This window comes from Homo sapiens, chromosome 6, assembly GCF_000001405.40.
Source record: "Homo sapiens chromosome 6, GRCh38.p14 Primary Assembly".
Classification (NCBI taxonomy): domain Eukaryota; kingdom Metazoa; phylum Chordata; class Mammalia; order Primates; family Hominidae; genus Homo; species Homo sapiens.
The window spans coordinates 89387002-89413781 of NC_000006.12; the positions used below are offsets into that span (position 1 = coordinate 89387002).

The window sequence follows — 26780 nt, forward strand, 5'->3', positions numbered from 1 at the left end:
TTGACTAGCGGTACCATAGTGGGGATGACATATTTGGCCTAAATGGGCCCCTCCATCAGTGAGGTTTCCTAGGTCTATGATTTGCTGAAGTGTCAATTGTTCCCTAATGCTCAATGGGTTGATTGTTGGTCACGGCTGGAGCCTTTTAACTTTGGCAAAGTCTGAGAGCCCTGACCAAGAAACACTTGTTTGGTAGAAAGGCCTATTCCAGAGTTTAAAAACCAAACCAAAAACATGGGGTGGGGTGGAGGGGACCGGCCAGGCCATCATACCCCTGAGACTCTGAGCTTTACCTGTGAGTCAATGACAAATATCAGTGCTCCTGTTCCCCGGAAGATCATCTCATAGTCAAATGTAGGGTCAAAAAAGTCAATCTGTCCTGGGAAGTCCCAAATCTGAAAATTGACAAAGGAGCTGTTGGAAACATCTTCCCGGCATATCTTATTAGTGCTCTCCAAGAACAGAGTTTCGTTGGGAGACATTTTGTGAAAGACAACTTTCTGAATAGACGACTTGCCGCTTCTCCTCAGGCCCATGAGCAGGATTCTCGGCTTCACTTCAGTGCTGAAGGGGTCACTGAAGTCCAGAACTGGAGAAACCACAAAATGAGAATGAAGGTGAGATGCTTTCACAGAGGTTAATTAGAGGAGTTTCACTTCCACCTCAAATGTGATTTATGATTCACAGATGATGCCACTCTTCCAAAGAGTGCTAACTACAGTCCCTCCACTTAAACCCCAAGTCTTGCTGACTTCACAACCTTAACACTTAACCGCTGGTCTATACTTCCCACCAGGCAAAGGGGACAGCTTTTGCTAAGTGCAAAACACTCAACAATAGAGTCTCGCCACTTCTTACACCATCCCGGAGGCCAGACACCAATATAATGCCACATCACAAGCAGGGACTCAGGAGCGTGAAGAGAGATTTATTTCCTGGAGCAGACTGTGGAAAGAATCCAGGTCTGAGCATTCAGGAGCCATATTGTTCTCTGAGAAGCCATCACTAAAGAGATGCTTGTTGACGTGAGTTATGCCTCTCTTAGTCACCCTCCTCTGGCTAGTACTCTCCCAAGCCACGAAGGCCTGGAAAATGGGCCTTGGACTAGATGTCGCAGGTTTGGATTGTGTTACACAGCAGATGCAAAGTTTGTGAAAGGCAGACATCTCTCAGGCCCACCCTGGCTCAGGGCCCCCATCCAGTAAGGTAGCTACTAGCCAAATACAGCTATTTAAATTAAAATCGATTAAAATTAGAAATTCAAATCCTCCTCCTATGATGTTTCTAGAGAAGCCAAATTCATAGACACAGAATGTTTTCAGGGGTTGGGGGAAAAGACGAATGGGGAGTTCTATGTTTAATGGGTATGTAGTTTCAGCTGGGGGAATATGAGAACATTCTGGAGATGGATGGTGGTGAGGGGCGCATAACAGTCACATTGTTATGTGGCCCTCACCGCCAAAAATGGCTAAAACTGTAAATGTTATGATGTTATATATATTTTATCACAATAAAAATTTGGGGGTTCCTCAGTTTCATCGTGGCAAGTACTCAATAGCCACATCCAGCAAGTGGCTAACGTATTGGACAGCACAGACACAGAACAGCAGTCCCCAACCTTTTTGGCACCTGGGACCAGTTTTGTGGAAAACAATTTTTCCAGGGACCAGTGGGATGGTGGGGTGGTTTCAGGATGATTCAAGCTGGTTACATTTATTAGGCAGTTTATTTCTATTATTATTGCATTGTCCTATATAATGAAATAATTCTCAAGTCACCATAATGTAGAATCAATGGGAGCCCTGAGCTTGTTTTCCTGCAACTAGACAGTCCCATGTGGGGTTGATGGGAGACAATGACAGATCATCAGGCACTGGATTCTCATAAGGAGCGTGCAACCTAAATCCCTCACATGTGCAGTTCACAACAGGGTTTGCACTCCTATGAGAATCTAATGCCACTGCTGATCTGACAGGAGGCAGAGCTCAGGCAGTAATGCGAGCAATGGGGAGTGGCTGTAAATACAGACGAAACTTCGCTTGCTCCCCCACTGCTCACCTTCTGCCATGCAGCGCAGTTCCTAACAGGCCACAGACTGGTACAGGTCTGTGGCCCGGGGTTTGGGGATCCCTGACATAGAACATTCTTATCCTCACAGAAAGTTCTAGAGGCCAGCACTACACCAGTTCCTGGTAACAAAAATTCAATCTTAAAATCCTTTGCTAAGGGTCCTAGAGGGATTAGGCATTACTGGATAAAAGTAGGAGTTGGTGGGCCGGGCGCATGGCTCACACCTGTAATCCCAGCACTTTGGGAGGCCGAGACGGGCGGATCACGAGGTCAGCAGATCAAGACCACCCTGGCTAACACGGTGAAACTCCATCTCTACTAAAAATACAAAAAAATTAGCCAGGCGTGGTGGCGGGCACCTGTAGTCCCAGCTACTCAGGAGGCTGAGGCAGGAGAATGGCATGAACCTGGGAGGCGGAGCTTGCAGTGGGCCGAGATCATGCCACTGCACTCCAGCCTGAGCAACAGTGTGAGACTCCGTCTCAAAAAAAAAAAAAAAAAAAAAGAAGTTGGTGTAACAGCTCAAAACCCTGTAGGGCTCTCTCTTTCCTTCGTTCTTGAAACATATAGTATTAATTCCACAATGTTCTTTAGTCCTAGAAAACCGCTTAATTGGTAAGCAGCCTTCCTAATTGACCAAGAGCGTGTATATTTCACAGGAGTAAAGGAAGTATAGACCGTGGTTCAGTGTTAAGGCTGTGAAGTCAGCAAGACTTGGGGTTTAAACTATCAGACCTTGAAAAAGATACTTAGCTTTTGAGACTCAATTTCAAAATCTACAAAATGGACTTGATAATGAAAATAAACATCTCATAGGGCTGTTACAATAAATGAGATCAAGGACCTAAAACAATTATTAAAACTAAGACATTCAGCAAATGGTGCTGGGCCAACTGGATATCCACATGCAAAAGAATGAAGTTAGACCCTTATGTCATACCATATACAAAAATTAACTCAAATGGATCAAACATCTAAGTTGAAGAGCTAAAACTATAAAACTCTTAAATCAAAATGTTTTATTTAAGAAGGCAACATAGGTGTAAATCTTGGCAACCTTGCATTAGGCAATGGTTTCTTAGCTATCACAGCAAAAGCACAAGCAACAGAAAAAAAAACAGATAAACTGGACTTCATCAAAAATTTTAAAAGTAAAAAGACAACATACAGAATGGGAGAAAACATTTGCAAATCATACATGTGATAAGAGTCTAGTATCCCGAATATATAAAGAATGCTTATAATTCAACAATAAATGACAACCCAATAAAAAATGAGCAAAGGATGCGAATAGACATTTCTCCAAAGAGACACTAAAGGCCAATACACATATGAAAAGGTGCTCCATGTCATTAGCCATCAGAGAAGTACAAGTAAAAACCACATTGAGATCCCACTTCACACCTACTAGGATGGCTATAATCAAAATGACAGATAATAACATGTGTTAGTGAAGATGTAGAGAAACTGGAACCTTCATATGCCACTGGTGGGAATACAAAATGTTGCACTTTGAAAAACAGTTTGGCAGTTCCTCAAACATAGGCTGGGCATGGTGGCTCACACCTGTAATCTCAGCACTTTGAGAGGTCAAGGCAGGCAGATCACTTGAGGTCAGGAGTTTGAGACCAGCCTGGCCAACATGGTGAAACCCCATCTCTACTAAAAATACAAAAATTAGCCAGACATGGTGGCAGGCACCTGTAATCCCAGCTACTTGGGAGGCTGAGGCAAGAGAATCACTTGAACCTGGGAGGCAGCAGTTGCAGTGAACTGAGATGGCGCCCCTGCACTCCAGCCTGGGCAACAGAGTGACACTCTGTCTTAAAAAAAGATTAAACATACAGTCACCATATGACCTAGTAATTCCACTCCTCCAAATATACCAAAAAAAATTGAAATCATATATCCAGGCAAAAACTTCTACACGAATGTTCACAGCAGCATTATTCACAATAGCCCAAAAGTAGAAACTGCCCAACACCCATCAACTCATGAATGGATGAAAAGAATGCGGTACAATGGAATACAGGCTAGGAATGGTGGCTCATGTCTATAATCCCAGTACTTTGGGAGGCTGAGGCAGGAGGGTTGCTTGAGGCCAGGAGTTCAAGATCAGCCTGGGCAACATAGTAAGACCCCATCTCTACAAAAACTTTAAAAATTAGCTGAGTATGGCAGCATGCATCTGTAATTCCAGCTACTCAGGAGACCAAGGTGGAAGGATCCCTTGAGCCCAGTGGCTCGAGGCTGCAGTGAGCCACAATCATGCCACTGCACTACAGTTTGGGTGACAGAGTGAGACCCTGTCTCAAAAAAAAAAAAAATACAATGGAATATTATTCAGCCATAAAAAAGGAATAAAGTACCAATTCATGCTACAATATGGATGAACACTGAAAATAATAATGCTAAGTGAAAGAACAGACACAAAATGTTATCTATTGTATGATTCTATTTACATGAAATGTTCAGAATGGACAGATCCATAGAGACAAAAAGTAGTTAGTGGTTGCCAGTGGCTAGAGAGAAGGGAAAATAGAGAGCGACTGTTAACTGGTATGTAGTTTCTTTGGAGTGATAAAAATGTTCTGGAATTTGCCAGGCATGGTGGCTCACACCTGTAATCATAGCACTTTGGGAGGCCAAGGCAGGTGGACTGCTTGAGCTCAGGAGTTTGAGACCAGCCTGGGCAACATGTCAAAACCCCATCTCTACAAAAAAAAATGCTAAAAATTAGCCAGGTGTGGTGGCACGCACCTGTAGTCCCAGCTACTCTAAGAGCTGAGGCAGAAGGATCCCTTGAGCCCAGGAGGTTGAGGCTGCAGTGAGCTGAGGTCATACCACTGCACTCTAGCCTGGGTGACAAAGTGAGACCCTATCTCAAAAAAAAAAAAAAAAAAAATCCCTGGAATTAAACAGTGGTGATAATTGCACACCTTTGTGAATATACTAAAATCCATTGAGCTCTGTACTTTAAAAGAGCAAATACTATGGTATATAAAGTATATCTCAATTTTTTTAAAAGGTTTCATGAGTAAATACACAAAAATAAAAAACCCAGTATGAAACTCAAAGAAGGATCAAGAAAAGGAACCAACGTCTTAAGAAAAGAAAAGGAGCTGGGCACAGTGGCTCATGCCTATAATGCCAGCACTTTGGAAGGCTGAGGTGGGAGGATCACCTGAGGCCAGGAGTTTGAGACCAGTCTGGGCAGCATAGAGAGACCTTTGTCTCTACAAAAAAAAATTCTTTTTAATTGGCTGGGCATGGTGGCATGCAGCTGTCATCCCAGCCATTTGGGAGGCTAAAGTGGGAGGATCCCTTAAGCCCAGGAGTTCAAGGCTGCCGTGAGCTTTGATTGCACTACTGCACTCCAGCCTGGACAACAGTGCAAAACCCTGTCTCGAAAAAAAAAAAAAAGAATATAAAATATAGAGATGTATATACATTAAATTATTTTCCTAAATTTCTTATTTCCTTCTTAACTATACCTCATCATGTCTTTTTCTCTGGTCTAACCTAATCCAATACAGACTGAAAAGTAACGTTTTATTTCCCTATTGTAACCAACAATTTTCCCCCAAAACTCTACAATTGTCTAAAACACTTGTTAATACTTGATAATATCTTAGTAAATTTCATTTACTATATATAATACTTTGATGTTTGAATTTGCAATAGGTGTAGGCAAACATACATATTTCAGATAAGACAATGACTGAATAAAGAAAAATTAAGCAGGTACAGATGTGCATAGATATTACTCCACTATAAGCAACTCCTCAGCCCCACCTTATCCACCCATACTTTTCCAGTTCAACTGAATCCAGTTCAACACATTGCTGATGACATACAGTATAGGCAGTAATGTGGAAGCAAATGGCCCAAAATCTAACCAGCTTTCTTCTTCATCAGTGATTACATGCTACCCAGTCACAGTACTGCCATTACAAGTCAATCTTAGCAAGAGCAGGGCATGAACTGAAAATGAAACAGGACTTCAAGTTTAAAAATATCAGACAGATAACATGTTCATCTTCCCTTCCCATGCTAACTCCCTAAAAATAATAGAAATGTTGTGCATAATAAACAAATAGGTGCACAATGAAACATGGATAGTTAAGTTTGAAACAAAAAGGAGAACTCAAAATTGACAACCAGGAAATCCTTAAGAAACACAAAGATGAGATTGAAGAGGGAATCTGCAGTCCTTGACTATGAATGGCAGAGTTCTGCTGTAGAGTGTAGAACTGGTGGAATCCCACAACAGGAAGGAATATGAAGACAAGCAACAGAGTCATTATTTGGAGAATAACAGTGAAAACAGCCAAGCAGATAAACTCTGTGCACCATGGCCCACTCACCCAAACTTACCCTACACACACTAGGATATCTTCTAGGTGAAAGCAGTAAATGGAGGAGGTTGGGCATGAGAAGGAAGGCAGTGCCCCCAGTGCTAGTGATGCCCAGAAGGACAAGGAAGCATCCCCACTACTGCCCTCAAAGTCCTCTCACCTCTCCTAACTCTCACTACAATGTGTGGAGAAGAGCACTATCAGAGGTGGATACAGTACCATCTTCCCTCCAACATTTCCTTGAACATCAAATATTCGAGTAATGCCAAGATTATGGAAGACAACATAGACTCAACAAATGTAAGAATGTACACCTGAAGAAGCAGAGTTAATAACAGAATCACAGCAAACTGTCAAGCTAAATATACTTCAGAGACTCAGAGATGTAAGAAAATATGGCATTCATGAAACAAGAACAGACAGTTTCAGAGGAAGAGCAGTTATGAAAAAGGGGTATATAGATCTTGGCAATAAAAATGTATGAATGTATGGATTAAAAAGCAGAATAAACACAGATGAAGATGGAAATAGTGGACTGGCTAGTCAAAGTCTCTCAAGATGCAGTACAAAAGAATAGAGCACTGGAAAGTATGAAATCAAAGTTAAAGTGGCATCAGGAATAAGATTCAGAAGAACCATTATTTTACTAAAGAAGTTCCAAAAGGAGAGAATGCAGAATATGGGGAGGAAGCAACATTTAACTAAATAATAGAGAAGCCTTTCCTAAATTAACAAAAGATAAAACTCAAAATGAACAGACTCACAAAATAAAATGGAGAAACTTAAAAACAAGCCCACACCTAAAAAAAAAAATCATAGTGTAACTTCAAAATATCAAGGATATCTATAGGAACAAAAAGAGAAGTGAAAAAAAATTTTTTAAATCAAGGATAACAATAAAATCCTTAGAGGGGGAAACAATTACCTATGAAAGAACTAGAAAGGCATCAGATGCTTATCAACAACACAGATATGAGAAGACAACAGAACAGATCTTAAAAAGACAAAAGGAAAAAAAATCTGTGAACTCATTAATATACCAATCATATTATTTTTCAAATCTGAGAGTGAAATAAAGATATTTTCAGATATTCAAGGACTTAGGAAGTTTATTTCCCACTTAATCCCTTTGAAATAATTACTCAAGGATGTAACTCCTGAAAGAAAAATACACCCAAAATGAGTACAATGTAATCAGCAATGGAAAACAATGAATGGTAAAAGAGAGGTAAGTCAAAGAATGCTACGGTTGCTGCTAGAAAAGCATAGTTAAGTATTTTTTTTAATTTAAGGATAACCATTTCAAATATAAATGAAAATATAAATATGTACAAAAATGCATTTTAAAACGGTCCAGAAGGATACACAGCAAATGGCAAAGTGTAGGTAGAAGGAGAATTTAGGAGGATCATGAAAAGGAATTTGGTTTTAATTTTAAAAATGAAATATATTCACATACATATATAATTAAAATTGGCTTTGAAAAGGAAAGAAAAACAATTTTTAATGTCTAGGGAGTCATGAGGGACACTGAAATGGGAAGGTGGCCAGGCCTGGTGGTGCACACCTGTAATCTCAGCACTTTGGGAGGTTGAGGTGGGAGGATCACTTGAGCCCAAGAGTTTGAGACCAGCCTGGTCAACATAAAGAGACCTCATCTCTACAAAAAAAATTTAAAAATTAGCCGGACCTGGTGGTAAGCACCTGTAGTCACAGCTACTTGGAAGGCTGAGGTGGGAGGATCCCTTGAGCTCAAGAGATTGAGGCTGCAGTGAGCCATGATTGTGCCACTGCACTCCAGCCTGGGCAACAGAGTTAAGAACCTGTCTCAAAAAGAAAGAAACAACAATTTGTTGGACATGCCTGTGGTCCCAGCTACTTGGGAGGCTGAGGCAGAAGGACTGCTTGAGCCCAGGGGTTTGAGAACAGCCTGGGTAATAGCAAGACCCCAACTCTAAAACAAAGAAAGAAGGGAAAAGAAATAACAACTTAAATCGATAGAACTATAATCTGTCAATGAAAATAAGTAAATAAGATAAAACAAAATTTACAAAGTAAAAAGAGACAACTGACATGCTGTTTTATGTTTAATTCCAAAGATGCACAAGTTCACTGAAAACCTTTGATATTCCCTTTCACTTTATTTGCCAAACACAAATGTTTCAAAATATTAAATACTCCTTAAATTGTGATTTCAACTCCACATTTTCTCTTTCAGTTGTGCTCTTAGGGTTTCTGTTTTATGCATACAATAAATATGTGGGTTAATGGGCCCAAAGTAGTTGCTTGGTAAATGTTGGTTAGACAAAAAATATGTAAAACATGGTTCCCATCTCAGAGAAACTTAGAAATCCAGTCCAAACTGTGAGTGTTGGTGTAAAGACAGACAAATAGACAAACAGATCACTGGAACAGACAGGGAAATAAACCCACACTTACATAGACAAATGATTTTTCACCAAGAGGTAAAGCCACCTCCAAGAAGAAAGGACAGTCATTTTCACCAAATGACTGATGGACCAACTGGACATCCATATGCCAAAAAAAAAAAAAATTCAACTCACATCAACTCAAAATTGGTCTTGGTCTAACTGTAAGATCTAAAACTATGAAACTTCTAGGGTAAAATATTTATGACTTTGCGTTAGGCAAAAATTTCTTAGATATGACACCCTCCCCCAAAAATTGGTAAACTGGATTTTATTAAAATAAAACTTCAATACCCATGAAAACTAAAATAACAATAATAAAATTTAGAAAGAAAAGCACAACAAATACAAAAATGAAGAATTTGTTGGGACTTAAAAGACAGCAGCAACTCTCAAAAAAAATAATAAAGTAAAAGAAAAACATCAAATGACATTGTTAAGTAATAAAGACAAGACACAGACTAGAAGAAAGTATCTGCAAATAATGTATCTGGGAAGGGACTTGTATGCAGAATATATGAAGAACTCTCAAAACTTATTAATAAGAAATGACTCAATTTTATTTTATTTATTTATTTATTTATTTACTGAGAGTCTTGCTCTGTTGCCCAGGCTGGAGTGCAGTGGCGCAATCAGAGCTCACTGCAACCTCCACCTCTCAGGCTCAAGTGATCCTCCTGGACTCAGCCTCCAGAGGAGCTGGGACTACAGGCGCGCCCCATCATGCTGAGCTAATTTTTTGTAGAGATGGGGTTTCGCCATGTTGCCCAGGCTGGTCTTGAACTCCTGGGCTCAAGCAATCCACCCACCTCAGCCTCCCAAAGTGCTGGGATTACAGGCATGAGCTGCTGCACCCAACCAATGACCCAATTTTTTTTTTTTTTTTTTTTTTTTTTTTTGAGACAGAGTCTTGCTCTGTCACACAGGCTGGAGTGTTCAGTGGCATGATCTTGGCTCACTGCAACCTCCACCTCCTGGGTTCAAGTGATTCTCCTGCCTCAGCCTCCTGAGTGGATGGGATTACAGGTGTGCACCACCATGTTCGGCTAATTTTGTATTTTTAGTAGAGATGGGGTTTCACCATGTCGGCCAGGCTGGTCTCGAACTCCTGACTTCAAGTGATCCACCCACCTCGGCCTCCCGAATTGCTGGGATTACAGGCATGAGCCACCACACCCGGCTGACCCAATTTTAAAAGTGAAACAAGCAAAAGATTTGAAGAGACAACTTGCCCAAGAAGATTTATGGAAGGTAAAAAAGCACAGGAAAAGATACTCAATACATCATTAATCATTATAAAATGTAAATCAAAACTATAATGAGATACTATTACATACCCACTAAGACAGCTAAAATTAGGAAGAATCAGAGTAACAAGTGTTGGCAAGGATGTGGAGGTACTAGAACTCTCATACACTGCTGGTAGAAATGTAAAATGATACTATTTTGGAAAACAGTTTGGTGGTTTCTTAAGAAGTTGAACATACACACCTGTCATACTATCCCTTCCATTCCACTGCTGAGTTTTTACCTAAGAGAAATGAAAGTTTTTGTCCATATAATAACGTGTACATAAAGGATCATAACAACTTTATTTGTAATAGTCAAAAACTGTAAACACCTGTAGTCCAGCTACTCGGGAGGCTGAGGCAGGAGAATGGCGTGAACCCGGGAGGCGGAGCTTGCAGTGAGCCGAGATCGCGCCACTGCACTCCAGCCTGGGCAACAGAGCGAGACTCCGTCTCAAAAAAAAAACAAAAAAAAACAAAAAAAACCTGTAAACAACCCAAAAGTCCACTAGCAGTTGACTAGATACACAAATTGTGATGCATCTCAGCAATAAAAAAATAAACTATTGATACACATAACCTGGATGAATCTCTAATTATGCCTAATGAAAGAAGCCATTACTCCTTTTTCATAAAATTTTTTTAAAAAATGTAAACTAATCTAATCTACAGTGGCAAATAGCGTATCAGTGGTTACCTAAGAAATGAAAGAGGCAGGGCTGGGCACAGTGGCTCATACCTGTAATCCCAGCACTGTGGGAGGCCAAGGTGGGTGGATCACCTGAGGTCAGGAGTTCAAGACTAGCCTGGCCAACATGGCGAAACCCTGTCTCTACTAAATATACAAAAATTAGCTTGGCATGGTGGTGGGCACCTGTAATTGCAGCTACTTGGGAGGCTGAGGCAAGAGAATCACTTGAACCCAGGAGGTGGAAGTTAGTGAGCCAAGATTGCGTCACTGCGCTCCAGCCTGAGTGACAAGAGCAAAACTCCATCTCAAAAAAAAAAAGAAAAAAAGAAATGGAAGAGGCAGTAGGCAGTAAGGAAAGGTCAGAGGGAGGAAGAAGTATGGGAAAACGTTTGGAAGTGATGGATATGTTCTTTATCTTGACTGTGCTGATGGTTTCACAGGTGCATATATATGTGAAAACGTATCAAATATGTGTTATGTCAATTAATTGTTGTAATTGACAGTTACAGCTGTCATAAAAAAATGTAACCTTAAAGATAAGAACGGAAACCCTAACAGTTATAGTTGCTCTGCTATCACATCCCAAACAGCAAGTGTTTAAACAATGCAAAGTGGAGGGAAATGCTTGTGGGCCAGGGGAGAGACCCAGTGGATCACACAGATTATGAATGCAGATTTAAAGTACTGCAGAATTTGGATGGGGTTGAGAGAAGGAGCAGGCAGGAGCTCCTCCAGAAGAGGGAAGTCCAAATGTAAGCAAAGGCACAATGCCTTACATGGAACAGGAAAATATGCATGCAATGAGAACTCATGGCTATCATGTATGAAGGTGCCTACAATGTGCCAGGCACTACTTTAGGCACTCTACATGCTTCATCCCATTCATGCTCCTTCAAGAATAGATATTATTATCCCCATTTCACAGGTGAAGAAATTCTGGTTTTGGTGGAGTGCTCACCTACAGCCTTCACCACCTAGAGCCTTCACTACCAATCAGAGCCTTTACCACCAATCAGCTGTCTGTCACATTAAATACTATACTCTAATTTGCATATCTCATGATTTAAAGTTTACAGGCTTAGAAAGGTCAAGTAACATTCAAACGGAGGGCTGGCCCACTCATGGTCTATGCATTCTATTTCTGCTGTGCAACACTGCCCCCAATTAATGCAAGCAAAACTCCTCGTTAAATTATGTACAAGTGCAAAAATATTCATGTGTTTATAAATGCCTTTCTTCCCAATTTATACTGCTAGATATGGGCGTAGATTTTAATGTTTCTCCAGCAGGGTCTGTAAGTCTCTATGTGGTATGATCATCCACGCTGATGACCTGTAGAAGTTGAATCTCCTCCTCCTGGGAGGGTGGCGAGGTGACAGACACCACTGTGAAGGGGGGAGGGAGTATGTATGCATGTTTACATACACAGAAATGCTGGGAACTAAATACACATACAGCTGCAACAACACATACAGCTGAAGTATTTCCTTTTCCCTGCCTGCCAAATTCAATCATGGGCCACCAACCATTAAACAGCTGAGAAAGGGTGGCCTGGATCAGCAAGAACACCATCAACTTTGCAGGGACTCCCTAGTTCCGAATAGATGCATTTTATTACATTCAGCTAGGGTGTATGGAAATACGCTGTGCAGGCTGGGTACAATGGCTCATGCCTATAATCCCAGCACTTTGAGAGGCCAAGGAGGGCAAATTGCTTGAGCCCAGGAGTTCAAGATCAGCCTGGGCAACATGGCAAAACCCTCTCTCTACTAAAAATATATATTTTTTTTAATTAGCAAGTTGTAGTGGCTCGTGCCTATAGTCCCAGCTACTCAGGAGGCTGAGATAGGAGGATCACCTGAGCCCAGAAGTTAAGGCTGCAGTGAGCTGTGATTATGCCACTGCACTTTGTACCACCATGCCCAGCTATTTTTTTTTTTTTTTTTGTAGAGACGAGGTCTCCCTATGTTGCCCAGGCTGGTCTGAAACTCCTACGCTCAAGTGATCCTCCCACTTCAGCCTCCCAAAGTGCTGGGATTACAGGCATGACCCACCATTCCCGGTCTGGGTGGGACATTTCTACAAACTTCACCGGCCCAGTGAGGGAGCATAAGTCTGTTCTACCCCTGAGGAATCTCGGGGAAGTAAACTGCCCAAGGTCATATGACTGGTATTGGTGGAGTGCTCACCCAGAACCTTCACCACCAATCAGCTCTGTTTGTAACATTTAATACTAAACTGTAGTCTAATTTGCTTATCTCATGAATTAAAATTTACAGGGGACCTTCTCCTTGAGGTGTTCTACAAAATGGCTTCATTCCAGTTGCTCTTCAAATCCTTAAGTCAGAACACATTAGTCTTCATAAAATCAACTTGTGGGGATTAAACAGCAACAGCATTAAATAACAATAAAGAGATTTAAAAACAAAAAACTAGAAAATATCGGAGCACATGGTACAGCACAAGAGTAAAATTACGGCTTGGTGAAATTTCCCTGGGTTTATTTGCATGTATGTGGGTACTCGCTCAGAGTATAAATGTTTTTTACTGTGGGCCAGGGTAAAAAATGTAGTAGGCCATGGCTTTACATCAGGAAAGGTTTCTTATATATCGGAAATGGACTGCTGACAAAAATCTTCCCTCTAATCTCCTCTCACCCTCTCCTCAAGTACCTCCACTTAAGAACCTCATAGAGCCTGGGTAGCTTAGCCCAGGTAAAGCGTTAATCTGAGGATCCAGGGTTCAAGGACAGGCACTAAAAAAAAAAAAAAGTCCCCTAGAGTACAGCTCTGAGTTCCCCAAAGGGTCTCACTCTACAATAGGCATGGTAGAGGCAGTGAGCTTATGCCAGGAAGGGAGGCACTTCAGCCTCTCAGCCTCCTGCAGAAGGCTGGGCTTTCTCCACCAACACCTCCCTAGGCATTACCCTCTGCCTCAGGCTTCTAGGTAGGCAAAAGAGAATGAAGGATGACAGCCCCCCTAAAAGGAGCAATCGGGGGACAAGTCTTCAAAAATCCGCTACAGGAGGGCTCCCCTTCAACCTACCCAGAAAGTTGCTGTAGTGAGATGAAATGTTCAAGCAGGCAGTTTGTTCTAATTTCAGGAAGGTTCCCTGAACACTGGCCAAGTGTGAGGCAGGGCTGCAGACACAAAGAAAAACGATTCATCCCCCAGCAATCAGAGGGGAATACAGACATGACAAACTGGCAATTACCATGCACGGCCAGCTAGGTGTTCTAGGCACTGAGAGAGGCTCCCTGGAGGAGTAATATCTGAGTCTTAAAGGAGAGGAGGCATGGAACAGATGAATGAGGGAAAGGTTGTTCCAGGAAGAGATTTGCAAGTTCAGGAAACTGGAGGTTAGGGAATGCAGTTTGAAGGCAAGATGAGGCAACACTCTGTCCAGGGGCTTCCCCACAATATATTTTTTTTTTTTTGAGACAGAGTCTTGCTCTATTGCCCAGGCTAGAGTGCTGTGGCGCAATCTTAGCTCACTGCAACCTCTTCCTCCCAGGTTCGAGCGATTCTCCTACCTCAGTCTCCTGAGTAGCTAGGATTACGGGCGCCTGACACCACACTCAGCTAATTTTTATATTTTTAGTAGACAGGGTTTCGCCATGTTGACCAGGCTGGTCTTGAACTCCTGACCTTGGGTGATCCATCTGCCTCAGCCTCCCAAAGTGCTGGGATAACATGCGTGAACCACCTCGCCCGGCCCCCCACAGCATTTAGAATAAAATCCAAATGCCTTCTTTTCCCCCTCACCCATGCCTGTTTCATCTTCTCCACTTGTTCCCTCTCCTCCAGCAACACTGGCCTTCCAGAAGGTTCCTCAGCTCAGGATCTCACTTTGCTCTTCCCTCCATCTAGAAGACCTCCTTCTTCAGCTCAGCCCAGCTGCAATGTCACCCCCACTGCTAAATCAGGCACTATCACTTCCTGGGCCATAACCCTGGGCCTTTTTAATAGTCCTTATTACTATTAATAGTCCATCTTTAGTATGTCTGTCTTCCTGTTTGTTTACTTGTTTTTTGTTTGTCTCTCTCACATATGCACAGGCAAAATACAAGGTAGCACATGGCATGAGTTCAATACATATCTTTGAAGAAATTAGTTGATGGAGAGGTGACAGGCTAGCTCAGGAGGGTGATACTGGGAAGTTTGGATTTTACCCTGAAAGCACTGAGGAAATCCTAAGGATTTTTTTTTTTTTTTTTTTTTTGGTGGGGGATGGAGTCCAGCTGTGTCACCCAGGCTAGAGTGTAGTGGTGCAATCTCAGCTCACTGCAACCTCCGCCTCCCAGGTTCAATCAGTTCTCCTGCCTCAGCCTCCCGAGTAGCTGGGATTACAGGCACGCACCAGCACACCTGGTTAATTTTTGTATTTTTAGTAGAGACGAGGCTTCACCATGTTGGCCAGGCTGGTCTTGAACTCCTGACCTCATGATCCGCCAGCCTCGGCCTCCCAAAGTGCTGGGATTACAGGCATGAGCCACTGAGCCCGGCCTGGAAATCACTAAGGATTTTAAGGGGAGATTAATATGATTTACATTTCATTAAGTTCACTCCAGAAACAGACTCCCTTGCGGGTCCCAGTATGGAATTAGGAGGTTGTTCTAGAACACAAATGACAAAGAACTAAGGCACAGGCTGTGGAAACAGGACTTGTGAGTGCAAATCTGTGTCACATTAGGCATGAGGGACAAGGGAGACAGAAGCCCTGGGTTCCTGACCTGGCAGCCCAGCCACCAAGAAGGTTAGGGGCTTCCTAACCCTAGCTAGGCAGCTAGCCACCAAGCAGCTGAACAAATATTTGAACTTGTTGAGTCTGAGGGGCTTGCTGGTCTGCAGCTCACATTGGGAAAGGACTCAGGGCCTCAGAAGGGAGGTAAAAATGTGACAGGCTTGAAGCAGGGAATGAAGGCTGCTGAGCTAGCCCATGCCTGATGGTCCTTTTCCCCCTGACCTCGTTGGGTGAAAGTGAGGGCATGTTTGAGGAGTTTTAGCCTTGGCCACAGCGAAACAGCTCAAACCAACCCACTCCAACCTCTCATCAACCTGTGGTTGCCATTTACTGACCACCTACATAGCACACAGTGTCATCTCTCAAGGTGGTAACACTCATCCTTTACAAATGTCAATGACACCTCCCATGCAGATACTCATCAATGGCCATGATGTTTCAGTCAAGCAGGCTGAGTAAGCTCTAGGGATCTGATATACAACAGTGTACCTACAATAGCATATTATATGCTTAAAAACATATTAAGACAGATCTCATGTTAGGTGTTTTTACCACAATGACATTTTTAAAAACTGTCGGCCGGGCGCGGTGGCTCACGCCTGTAATCTCAGCACTTTGGGAGGCTGAGGCGGGTGGATCACGAGGTCAGGAGATCAATCGAGACCATCCTGGCTAACACGGTGAAACCCCGTGTCTACTAAAAATACAAAAAATTAGCTGGGCATGGTGGCGGGCGCCTGTAGTCCCAGCTACTCAGGAGGCTGAAGCAGGAGAATGGCGTGAACCCAGGAGGCGGAGCTTGCAGTGAGCAGAGATCGCGCCACTGCACCCCAGCCTGGGCGACAGAGCAAGACTCTGTCAAAAAAAAAAACAAAAAACTGTCAAGGTGTAAAGTACCAATTCAAAGGTACTTAGGGAACATCTAGGCATTGAGAACCTTTATGTCTGTGGAATACTATAAGGCAACAAAGTGTTCTTTATCTGGGGATATATATATACATATGGCCATGGATGATAATAGACTTCCTGATTGGTTTTCTTTTTCTTTTTTTTTTTTTTTTTTTGAGAGAGAGGGTCTCACTCTGTCTCTCAGGCTGGAGCTCAGTGAGTGGCTCAATCATAGCTCACTGCAGCCTCAAACTCCTGGGCTCAAGTGATCCTTCTGCCTCAGCCTCCCAAGTAGCGAGGACTACAGGCACACACCACCTCCACCACACCTAGCTAATTTTTTCATTTTTTTTGTTGGGGGATGGTGGTTAGAAGCAGGGTCTCGCCATGTTGTCCAGGCTGGTCTTGAACACCTGGGCTCAAGCAATCCTCCCACCTTGGCATCCCAAAGTGTTGGGATTACAGGCATTAGCCACTGAGCCTGGCAACTTCTTGATTTAAATCTTTATTCTCTATATTTAGAAGACATCAATGTGGCCTTTTGCCATTTTTCCCATATGGGTTATTACACACGTGCTTGAAGAATAAAAAACGGTTGTCATTTGAAGGGATATTAGGTATTGGTAAGCAACTTCTGCCTTTCTGTAAAATTTTAATATTATATTCCAAAGGGGGCTTTTTCCTATTAGTCTAAAATTTGGGCCCAATGGCCTGTGTAACACAAAGTATAGAAAAATACAAACACACGATTTTGCAGTTTGTAGCTTAACAAAATTAAAATTGTTGTTAAAACAAACTGAGGCCTCAGTGCTTACCCACAACAAACACTCAATAGATGTTTGTTGGGATGATTACATGAAAGTGACTGAGCAGAATTTGAGGCTAAATTAACTGAAGCTTTAAAAAGAAAATTCATGTCTGACTTTGGCCCAGATCAGCACTTGGAACTGGGTATCAAGAGGATCAGCTTTATGCCTAGGTGAAGTTTATTTACTGTGGTCAGGGACACCAAATAGACCTCACCTCTCCTCCACTTGGTGCTATCAATACCCAGATTTTCCAGAGATCTCAGCCTTCGAACTGGACTGCTGTAGACCCCAGGAAATTCAATCACCCAAGGAACAGCACTATGGGGAGGGGTCATCAAATTGAGCCATTATCAGTCTTTAACACCTGAAGGCTAATCACTTAATCCGGAATTATCCAGTAACCAGCAGAGCCCTGTCAAAAACCAACAGGCCTTAGTAAAAAAAGAAGGGAGAAAAAGATGGATTAGTGCCTCGAGTACAACAGGGCTGCCTGGGGACCCTGCCTGACTGATCTGAGGGTTAGGAATGCTTACAACAAAGAAGAAACCAGAAATCAGGAAAATGGGAATTGAAAGCCAATGTTCACCTCCTTACACAGCTCTTAAGGTTGGCCCTGCCATCCTAAGCTCAAGGATCTCTACAGGAAGAATGAGATATCATATGAAATGCACTTCAGAAATTCTATTGAGAAGTATTATAATTAAGGAGAGTTCTCTGAGAGGTAGCATCTTTGAATAGGCTCAAAACAGGAAAATAAACTATTTAATGCAAGAATTAAGATAACATAGTGGCCAGGCACGGTGGCTCACACCTGTAATCCCAGCACTTTGGGAGGCCAAGGTGGGCGGATCACGAGGTCAGGAGATCGAGATCATCCTGGCTAACACGGTGAAAACCCGTCTCTACTAAAAAAAATACAAAAAAATCAGCCAGGTGTGGCAGCGTGCGCCTGTAGTCCCAGCTGCTGGGGAGGCTGAGGCAGGAGAATGGCGTGAACCTGGGAGGCGGAGCTTGCAGTGAGCCGAGATCGCACCACTGCACTCCAGCCTGGGTGACAGAGCAAGACTCCGTCTCAAAAAAAAAAAAAAAAAAAAAAGAGATAACATAGTGGCGAAGTGATGGCAAATGGAATGGTTGAAAAAGTACTAGGTTAGTGTCAGACTAGGATTCAAGTCCCAACTCTCCATTTACTAGCTATGTGACCCCATACATGTCCCCTTGCCCATGAGCCTTCATTTCCTCCTCTATCAGCATACACGCATACACACGGACACACACACAGGCACACAAGGACACACGCACAGGACACACGCAGGCACACAAACACACTCCCCTTCTTTTTTCCCACCCCAAGCCTAGGCAACGAGAGGGTCTTCAGTGGAATGTGACTATAGTAAGAGGCTCACTCAACCTTAAGGGAAAATTAGAATTTCTTCGCTATTAGTATTCTGTGGAATCAACAAACGCTTAAGCGTCTATGTGCTTATGGTTTTAGGAAGAGGCCCCTGGTGTGTTTCTATTTGCAGCTTTCTCTGTGGCTCCTTTAAATTTCTGAAGCTTACGTTGATCAATGGAACTACTTATACATTCAAGACCCAGGAGTTCAATAAGAAATTCCAACCCAAGTGGGAATGAATCATATGACTAATACTACTACTAACAAAAGCTATGCAAAAATCACGAAGATTCACTGTCCATTTGATTAACTACTTAGTAAGGAAAATTAAATGCAAACAGAACACATATTTTTCAAAGGCATAAAGATTTTTGAAGGTGATTCTTTTATTTAGCGTGAAAACTAAATCTTTATGAAATCCTCTCAAGTCACACTGGCAAATAACTAAAAAACATGATAAATACCACATATGAATATTTCCTTAACATATGTATTCAGTAGCAGTCCTAATGATAAGGGGAGTGCTGGGAAGGGAAGGGTGTGGTCCCTTTAAACGGTATGGAAGGGAGAAGGGAAGTGCCAGGCAGAGAGAAGGGCATGGTCCCTGGCTAGGGCTGCACCCCCACAGGCCTAGGTGAGGTCAGGCATTTCCGGCCCAAATGTTGCAAGACCACCGTGGCCTGCCACATCCCCATCCTGTGCCTACAGAAACCCAAGACCCAAGCAAGGCAGACACAGAAGCAGCTGGACGTCGAGAGGAGCACATCAGTGGAGGAACACACAAGCGGCTGGACATCGAGAGGAGTGGATTGGTGGAAGAAGATTCAAGCAGTTAGACGTCGAGAGGACGTTGGGAGCACACCAGTTTGGCCGGAGTGGTCAGAAAACAGCTGCCTGACTCCAGGGAAAAACCGTCTCCCTTCTGGCTCCCCTATCTGCTGAGAGCTACTTCTATTCAATAAAATCTTGCACTCATTCTCCAAGCCCAGGTGTGATCCGATTCTTCCGGTACACCAAGGCAAGAACCCAGGATACAGAAAGCACTCGGTCCTTGCAACAAGGTAGAGGGTCTAACTGAGCTGGTTAACACAAGCCCATAGATGGCAAAACTAAAAGAGCACCCTGTAACACATGCCCACTGGGGCTTCAGGAGCTGTAAACATCCACCCCTAGACACTGTCGTGGGATCAGAGCCCCACAGCTTGCCTGTCTGTGTGCTCCCCTAGAGGTTTGAGCAGCAGAGCACTTAAGAATCTAGCCAAACCCCCATCACACACCCTGCAAGGGGGACAAGCGAACTTTTCCCGTTTTACATTGGTAAAAATGTTCTGATTTACCAATGTGCCTGCAAAAAGGGAAAGGTATTCTTACAAACTTTTTAACAATCACTTTGAGAGTGCACTAAGGTTGGCTTTACGCAGTCCTCTATTTTATACACTGAGAAATGGAGCCGAAGTCTTTCTCAGAGGACCACAAGAGGAGAAGGTCGACCAGCAAGCACCCTGGACCCTGTAGCCCAGGAGTGAAGAAACTTTTTGTCTGCAGTGTCACAGCAGAACCAGGAAAGGCCATCACAAGAGAACTCTAAGGCTCTGGCACAGGAGGGAGAACAAAAAATATTTTTTTAAAAAATAAAAGGATACCAAAAGAATAAAGGAGGTAGAGAAGAAAGAAGGAAGAGGCCGGGCGCGGTGGCTCATGCCTGTAATCCCAGTACTTTGGGAGGCCAAGGCAGGTGGATCACTTGAGGTCAGGAGTTTAAGACCAGCCTGGTCAACATGGTGAAACCTCATCTCTACTAAAAATACAAAAATTAGCTGGGCATTGTGGTGGGCACCTGTAATCAATCCCACCTATTGGGGAGGCTGAGGCAGGAGAATCACCTGAACCCAGAAGGTGGAGGTTGCAGTGAGCCGAGATCATGCCACTGCACTCCAGCCTGGGCAACAGAGTGAGGCTCCATCTCAAAAGAAGGAAAGAAAGAAGAAAAATGAGCAGGAACGAAGTGTCTGTGCTAAAAGTGAAATTGATTGTCACCAGCATTTACTATGGGCTGGGGGAGGATTGAATAACACAGGGGGTGAACTTGGGGCAGACTCAGTTATCTTTGAAAGACAAAAGATGATCTCTCAAACCCAAAGTCATCGGCTCTTATCCAGAACTTGCTGTTTGTGCCTCCCGTTTCCATTAGACTACCCTCTATCTAGTATTAAAATGGAAGAGATCGCTAATAAAAGTAGAGAGTCAGTACTCTCTGATGCCCTGAATCACTGACACAGGTTTATAAAACATCTGATATAGAAAGATACTCTCTAAATACAGGCATTCGAACAAGTATTTACCTAAAGTTTAACTTTGGGCACATCATTTTAACCTATTATGTAGTTTCATCTGTTCCAACTCTTCTGTATTTCCAGGGCCAGAAGGAAATCTAAGAGATAAGCTGTGTCCAGGGCTGTAGTCAAGCCAGCTCTTTTTGGATAAGGCAGAATTACAAGAAAAGGGGCTTACATTTCCATATACTTGATCCTCTTCTAAATACTTCGCTCATTTCTAGCTCATGATAGGGCAGTAGAAAAGCCCCCTGGTATCTCTGAGCCATGATTTCAGTATCAGTATAACTGTTATCTCTACTTACTTCCAAGGAACAATGAAAAGGTGAATTCCCTAATATTTTTAAAATTATTTTAGGAAAAAGCCATGCACAGTCATGCATGCCTATAATCCTAGCTACTTGGGAGGCTGAAGCAGGAAGATTGCTTGAGCCCACAAGTCCGAGACCAGCCTAGGCAATATAGAGAGACCCAGTCCCTTCCCCACAAAAGGCTAACATTAATGAACTAATGATTAATACATATGAATTGCTGGATTCACCCCATCTACATCCTTCAGGAAGGAAGACCCTGGATCTTTCATGCCTCCAGAAACCACCTACACAGTCACTTCCTCAGACCCTAAGGGTGCGCACAGGCTGCTATGAAGGCAAAGACCGAACTTCACTGGACTGTGGGTGAGCAGCTTACGTTAGCCAAGTTTCTCCTAAAAAATGGGAGGGGTTTTGGGGGGAAAACAATTTTACTTTCTGATTAAATATGATCTTGTAATTGCTTTCCCTGTTATTACAGTTTTTAAAGCACAGTAATTTATCAAAAGATTTAAAGTCCATGAATCTAAAAATAATCATTATTTTTGGTGCAATTGTTTTTAACGGCCTAACCATTCCCTCCTCTCTGGTAGTTTTATCTGGAGTGTGGGGATTGAAGGTGAGACTCACCTTACCTGCAATTAACTACCATGAAAGGAAGGTTGAGAGGTGCCCAAATCTGCCCTAACAGAACTAATGTGCCTGAGAACACTTTTGCTATTCATGAATAAAATATGGAGTGGAAGCCAGAGAAGTGCAATTTAAGTCTCACCTTAGTTGCCCTATGTTTTCAAACTCAGTACAATGTGGTAAAATTTACAAGGCATACTCGGTTTAAAAATAAGACCAGAGGTTCCTTTATAAGTCCTACAGACTGAGGGAAATGAAAATTGCATTACATATCCACCTTTAGTCCACTTCTCTTGCACAGCTCCTGATAAATTGCTTTGCAACTTAACTGGCAATACTAGTTGGTCCCACATCCCACCCTCAGCCTCCCACCCACCAGGGTAGATTTCTGAACTTAGTGGAAAAAGTCCCACGTCTCCACTAAGTGCAGGCACTAAACCAAGCTATTAGGAAGGGGAAAGGGGAGTGGGGGTTCATTAGAGAAATGCTTTGCTAGTGGTTCAAAGTACATCTTTTCTCAGAATAACTCCTTTTTTTCCCTACATTCTATTTCTTAAGTTTGAGAGTAGGTAAATGTAAATTTTACCAAAAATAAAACAAGATTATAATGCAACACGTGAATCAGCCTTTTGAAGGGCACAGGAAGGGAAGTCACAACTCCCAACCTCCTCCTCCCAATCCCCACTCCCCAGACCATATCAGCTGGCCTGACAGCCATCAGGAGCAGTCCTCGCTGGAATTGCTGACTGAGGAGCCTATCTGACACTAGAGAGCAAATGTCCTGACAAGGGATTCTGCATCAAGGCCTAAACCCAAAAGTCAAAGCCAGGGAAATCTGGAAAGAACAGAGGCCAAAATATAACGGAGGAAGTCTGAGAAGCAGACCACCTATCCACTGCAGGCCCAGGTGGACAGAGACCAGGCTTAAGCAACGTTTGCCGAGCAAACATGTTGCTCTTCTCACAATATAAATATATTTAATCCTTTTATAGCAAGATCCCAAGCTGATCCCAAAAGCCCATTCAGAAGGATTTTATTATGCGAGTCACCAAAAATCAGTTACAGGCAAGTTTGCCTTTACGTTAACAGCTAAGGAGCCTCCAAGTCTGGGCTCTGGGGAAGCCCTTTGTTCCGGGAATCCCATCCCTCAAGCAGGGCTTTAATTTCACTTCAATTTCAAGTCCCCAAATCAAATTTTAAAAGTGCCCACTTAAAGAACTGCAGAATAAACGAGGGGTCCAGTACTTTTTCTGGACCCTCCAGGCCTCAGGACAGTATCAAATTACAGGGCTTTCCCTCCTGGATATGGCCCCTCCGCCCCCCCACTTTTTTTCTTTTTTAAAAAAGAGAATCCCACACACACCCTACTGTGTCCACCATTTCAAATACCTTGCAAATACATCCCTATTCTGCATCTCTCCGGAGTCTTCTAAGAATCTGGGAGGAGCTAACAAATGGAATTTGAATAATAATGAGGCGACTGAACAATTTAATTACGGAAGGTAGCTCTAGAGACTCCAATAAAACGGCTGAAAGCCTTTATCTACAAAAATGTGGCCTGGTGCTCAACGGTAAGACCAATTACCGGGAGTGCAGAAGACAGAAAGCACAAAGGTGCACACATCAGTTTAAGCAAATGAGGAATTAGCACAAATCATCCCAAGAGAGAAAACGCTATGAAAAAGGGTGACTTGAGAGGCTGCTTTCTCATCTACCAGGCGCAAGGCATAGTTAACTTTATTTCCTTTCTGATTCATTGAAAGTCGTGCCTGCCAGATGTAGAATAATGAAACTACCCTAGTGAGAAAAGCTTTGCATAGAGAATTTAAAATAAGTTCAGTGAATTCTCAATAAAAGTTCTTTAAAAATCAATAGTCACAAAGGTACTTGTATCTCTCACACAATTTCTTCAGTGTGAAACATTAAAGTTAGTTCCTTCTCTTGGATGCATACAGTTTCACTGAGAATAACATCATGTTTAACAGCCGCTTTCTATTGACCTTTCCAAGTGACCTTACAGTAAAGGAACTTTTGCTCGCTTCTGAGGGAAACTAAAAAAAGTTTAACCTCTCTGGAATACTAAAAGGCTCTCAACTTCCTTACACCTTAAGAAAATGCAGGAAGCCCCCACAAGCTGAACGATTGCTAAAACCCGCTTCTAGAACAGGAAAAAGAGTTTGCTTCACTATTGAAGCAAAGAATTCCCCGCCGCGCGCTCACTCCCGGGCAGGCACTGCCATGTCCAGGTGGTGATACCGAGAGCAGATAAGGTGTCCTGACAACGGTGTTTGCGTGGATCCCGGGAAATCTGCGGCCTCTCGGAGACTCCCACAACAGCTTGGCGAGCATCCCCCCGCCGCCCCGCGGGTCTCCCCAGCCACTACCTGGGTGGGCCCCTCCCGCGGCGACGCGGGGCGAGACTGACACCCGCAGCTGCCGACGACCCTGCCAGTCACGCCGCCGCCGGCTGCCTTTTTTTAGCCACGACATCTGACCCTGGCTTCAACAGCACCGTTCTGGGAGAGAGGTCCCAGGGCGCGCCCGCGGTCCCCTCCCCTCCCCAACCGCCAGACGCTGCGGAGAGCTTGGGGTGAGGGGCGCGGGAGGCACCGGCTCTGAAAGGGGCAGAAGCGCGCGCTCCTCCAGCCCAGACGCTTACTCCCTCCTTCCCCTTTTCCACCGATCCTGGTTGCCCCTCCGCCACCAGCACCGCGCTCCCTCATTTGGCAGCTCGAGGTCGGGCTTTTGGCGTCCCTCCCCACCCCAAACCCTCAACTGGACCCGCTCCCCTGGACCCCCTCCAAGTCGGTGGCTCGCGCACGGCCGGGCTGGGGGCGGGAAGGCGCCAAGGGGAGGAAAGGGGCGCGAGCCGAGGACGCGGGGGCCGGGCGCTCACCTCCCTCCTCTGTGCCGCTGTCCGGATCGGCGTCGGAGGAGTCGGGCCCGTCTCCGTAGTCCGCTAGCCCCACCAGCTCATCCTCCTCCTCCTCCTCCTCCGCGTCGTCCTCGTCCTGCGGCTGCGGCTTCCCCAGCACCTGGCTCATCGTGCCCACCGGCCGGCCGGCCCGGGGACGGCGGGGGTCCCGGGGTGGGGGCCAAGCCTCCTAGCCGGCCGCCCGCAGCCTATTTCTGAAGCGGAGGTTTGTCTAGAGCTCAGCGGGGCCCGGCGGAAGCGGGGGCCGCGCGTCCCCCGGCGGGCGGCGCCCAGGTCCGGGTCCCGCGGTTCCCAGCGCGCCCGAAGCCCCCTCCCCCGCCCCGCCCGCCGGCGGAGGAGTCAGCCGGAGCGCGGCAGTTCCTCCCGGAGGAGGGAGAGAGAGAGAGACTGCGTGACCCGAGTCACCTGACACACACTGTCACATACTCACATACACACCCCGCACGGGCGCGCGCGCGCTCGCCCGGCCGCGGGCACCACTCGGCGGGGCGCTGGGCCGAGGACACACATGCACACGCACACGCACACGCACGAGGAGACCGGGGAGGCGCGGGGCCCCTGCACCCTCCCAGACTCACACCGACACACGCCCCGTACACGGGGCCCCCGGGACGCCGGCCGTCACCCACCGCGGCTGCGCGCCAGGGGCCCCCACGCGCCTCTCCTTCACGTGGTCCCCGCACAGGCAGGGGAGGGGGCGCCGCACACCCTCAATGTCCCCCCCGCCGTCCCACTCCCACACGCCCGCAGAGCGTCTACCGTGGGCGGATGCCTCCTGCTTACAGTCCTGAGCTAGGGTCCCAAGCGGGTGGCCTCCCAACACTGTGGCGCCCAGATCCCCCACCCCAGAGCAGCGTGCCCAGGACACCCTGTGGACGCTCAAGAGCCCCAGGCGGAGAACTCAGATAAATGCACAGTGGAGGCGCAGTCTCCATAGCAATTGTCTTTTAGTGTGCCTTTATGGTTCAAAGTGCTTCCCACCAAGAATATTTAAAAAGCAGGCCTACCCAGACGTAAATGTTTCTGAAGAAATCACATGACTCGTGGCTGCTTAGACTAAATAATTCCTCTGCAGCCCTTTGGAAAAGGTCTCAGTGTATAACACACTCGGGGGCTATTCATGGCCACCTCCTCATGTCTCATTGTTGCATAGACTGTAATCCCACATGAATAAAATATTTCAAGGCTTTTGTGGGAGTAGGGGAGTGGCGGTGGTGGGGGGGCAATTCTCAAATAGGAATAGCAGCAACGTGGAGTGAGACTCTAAAACCTGCATTCCTCCTTCACAAGCTTTTCACCACGGAACACACTGTACCCACCCTTTCTGGGTACTGCAAAAAATTACGTGGATGAACTTCCTTCTGTGGAGCACAATAAGAAAAAACCGGCCGGTCAGCATGATGATCCAGCTCCTACAGGTGCCAGCAGCTCAGCCGGTGGTGCGGTGCAGAAGCGGAGGGAGGAAGCTAGGGCAGGAGACTCTCAGGGCCCAAGGGTGCTAACCTCCATAGGAAACATTTATTAACCACCTCCTATATGCCTGAGGCTGGGCTAAGTAGAGGGTCCAAGAATGCTCAGGGCAGTGTTCCTGCCCTGAAGGAGCTCACAGTCTACCAAATCATGACTCATGTCCTGGATTTTTTTTAGTATTTCTGAGTGCAGAAGGTGGATGCAGACACTTTCCAGAAGGTGGCTGCTTCTAATGGGAAAGGTCCTGAGATTTTCCAAGGGAGGCAGGCAGTATAATTTGGTATGACTGTATCAGTTAAGGTTCTTCCCAGGATGAAACAGACGGTATGTGCAAAGACTTTAACTGAAGCCTTCAAGTGAAGGAACAATTTACAGGGGTGTGGACAGAGTTTAGGGAATCAATGCAGGTATTAGCGATAGTGGGAAG

General features: G+C 44.7%; 1 protein-coding gene across 1 annotated transcript in view, besides 4 other annotated features; it reads right to left on the reverse strand.

Moving 5' to 3' along the window:
- The window catches only part of RRAGD (Ras related GTP binding D), a 47658-nt gene extending 22386 nt beyond the window's left edge, over window positions 1-25272 (reverse strand). The window contains exons 1-2 of the mRNA NM_021244.5: window positions 24845-25272; window positions 294-589 (exon numbers count right to left, since the gene is read on the reverse strand). Coding sequence (NP_067067.1) covers window positions 294-589; window positions 24845-24992 — 444 coding nt within the window. The 5' untranslated portion in view covers window positions 24993-25272. The remainder of the gene's footprint in view (window positions 1-293; window positions 590-24844) is intronic.
- Window positions 382-441: an enhancer, noted in NCBI's record as "active region_24828". NCBI's record gives its function as "activates an Ori minimal core promoter by ATAC-STARR-seq in GM12878 lymphoblastoid cells {active_cell/tissue: GM12878}" and the evidence as "EXISTENCE:reporter gene assay evidence [ECO:0000049][PMID:35858748]".
- Window positions 24229-24328: a silencer, noted in NCBI's record as "silent region_17392". NCBI's record gives its function as "represses an Ori minimal core promoter by ATAC-STARR-seq in GM12878 lymphoblastoid cells {active_cell/tissue: GM12878}" and the evidence as "EXISTENCE:reporter gene assay evidence [ECO:0000049][PMID:35858748]".
- Window positions 24359-24468: a silencer, noted in NCBI's record as "silent region_17393". NCBI's record gives its function as "represses an Ori minimal core promoter by ATAC-STARR-seq in GM12878 lymphoblastoid cells {active_cell/tissue: GM12878}" and the evidence as "EXISTENCE:reporter gene assay evidence [ECO:0000049][PMID:35858748]".
- Window positions 24499-25688: a silencer, noted in NCBI's record as "silent region_17394". NCBI's record gives its function as "represses an Ori minimal core promoter by ATAC-STARR-seq in GM12878 lymphoblastoid cells {active_cell/tissue: GM12878}" and the evidence as "EXISTENCE:reporter gene assay evidence [ECO:0000049][PMID:35858748]".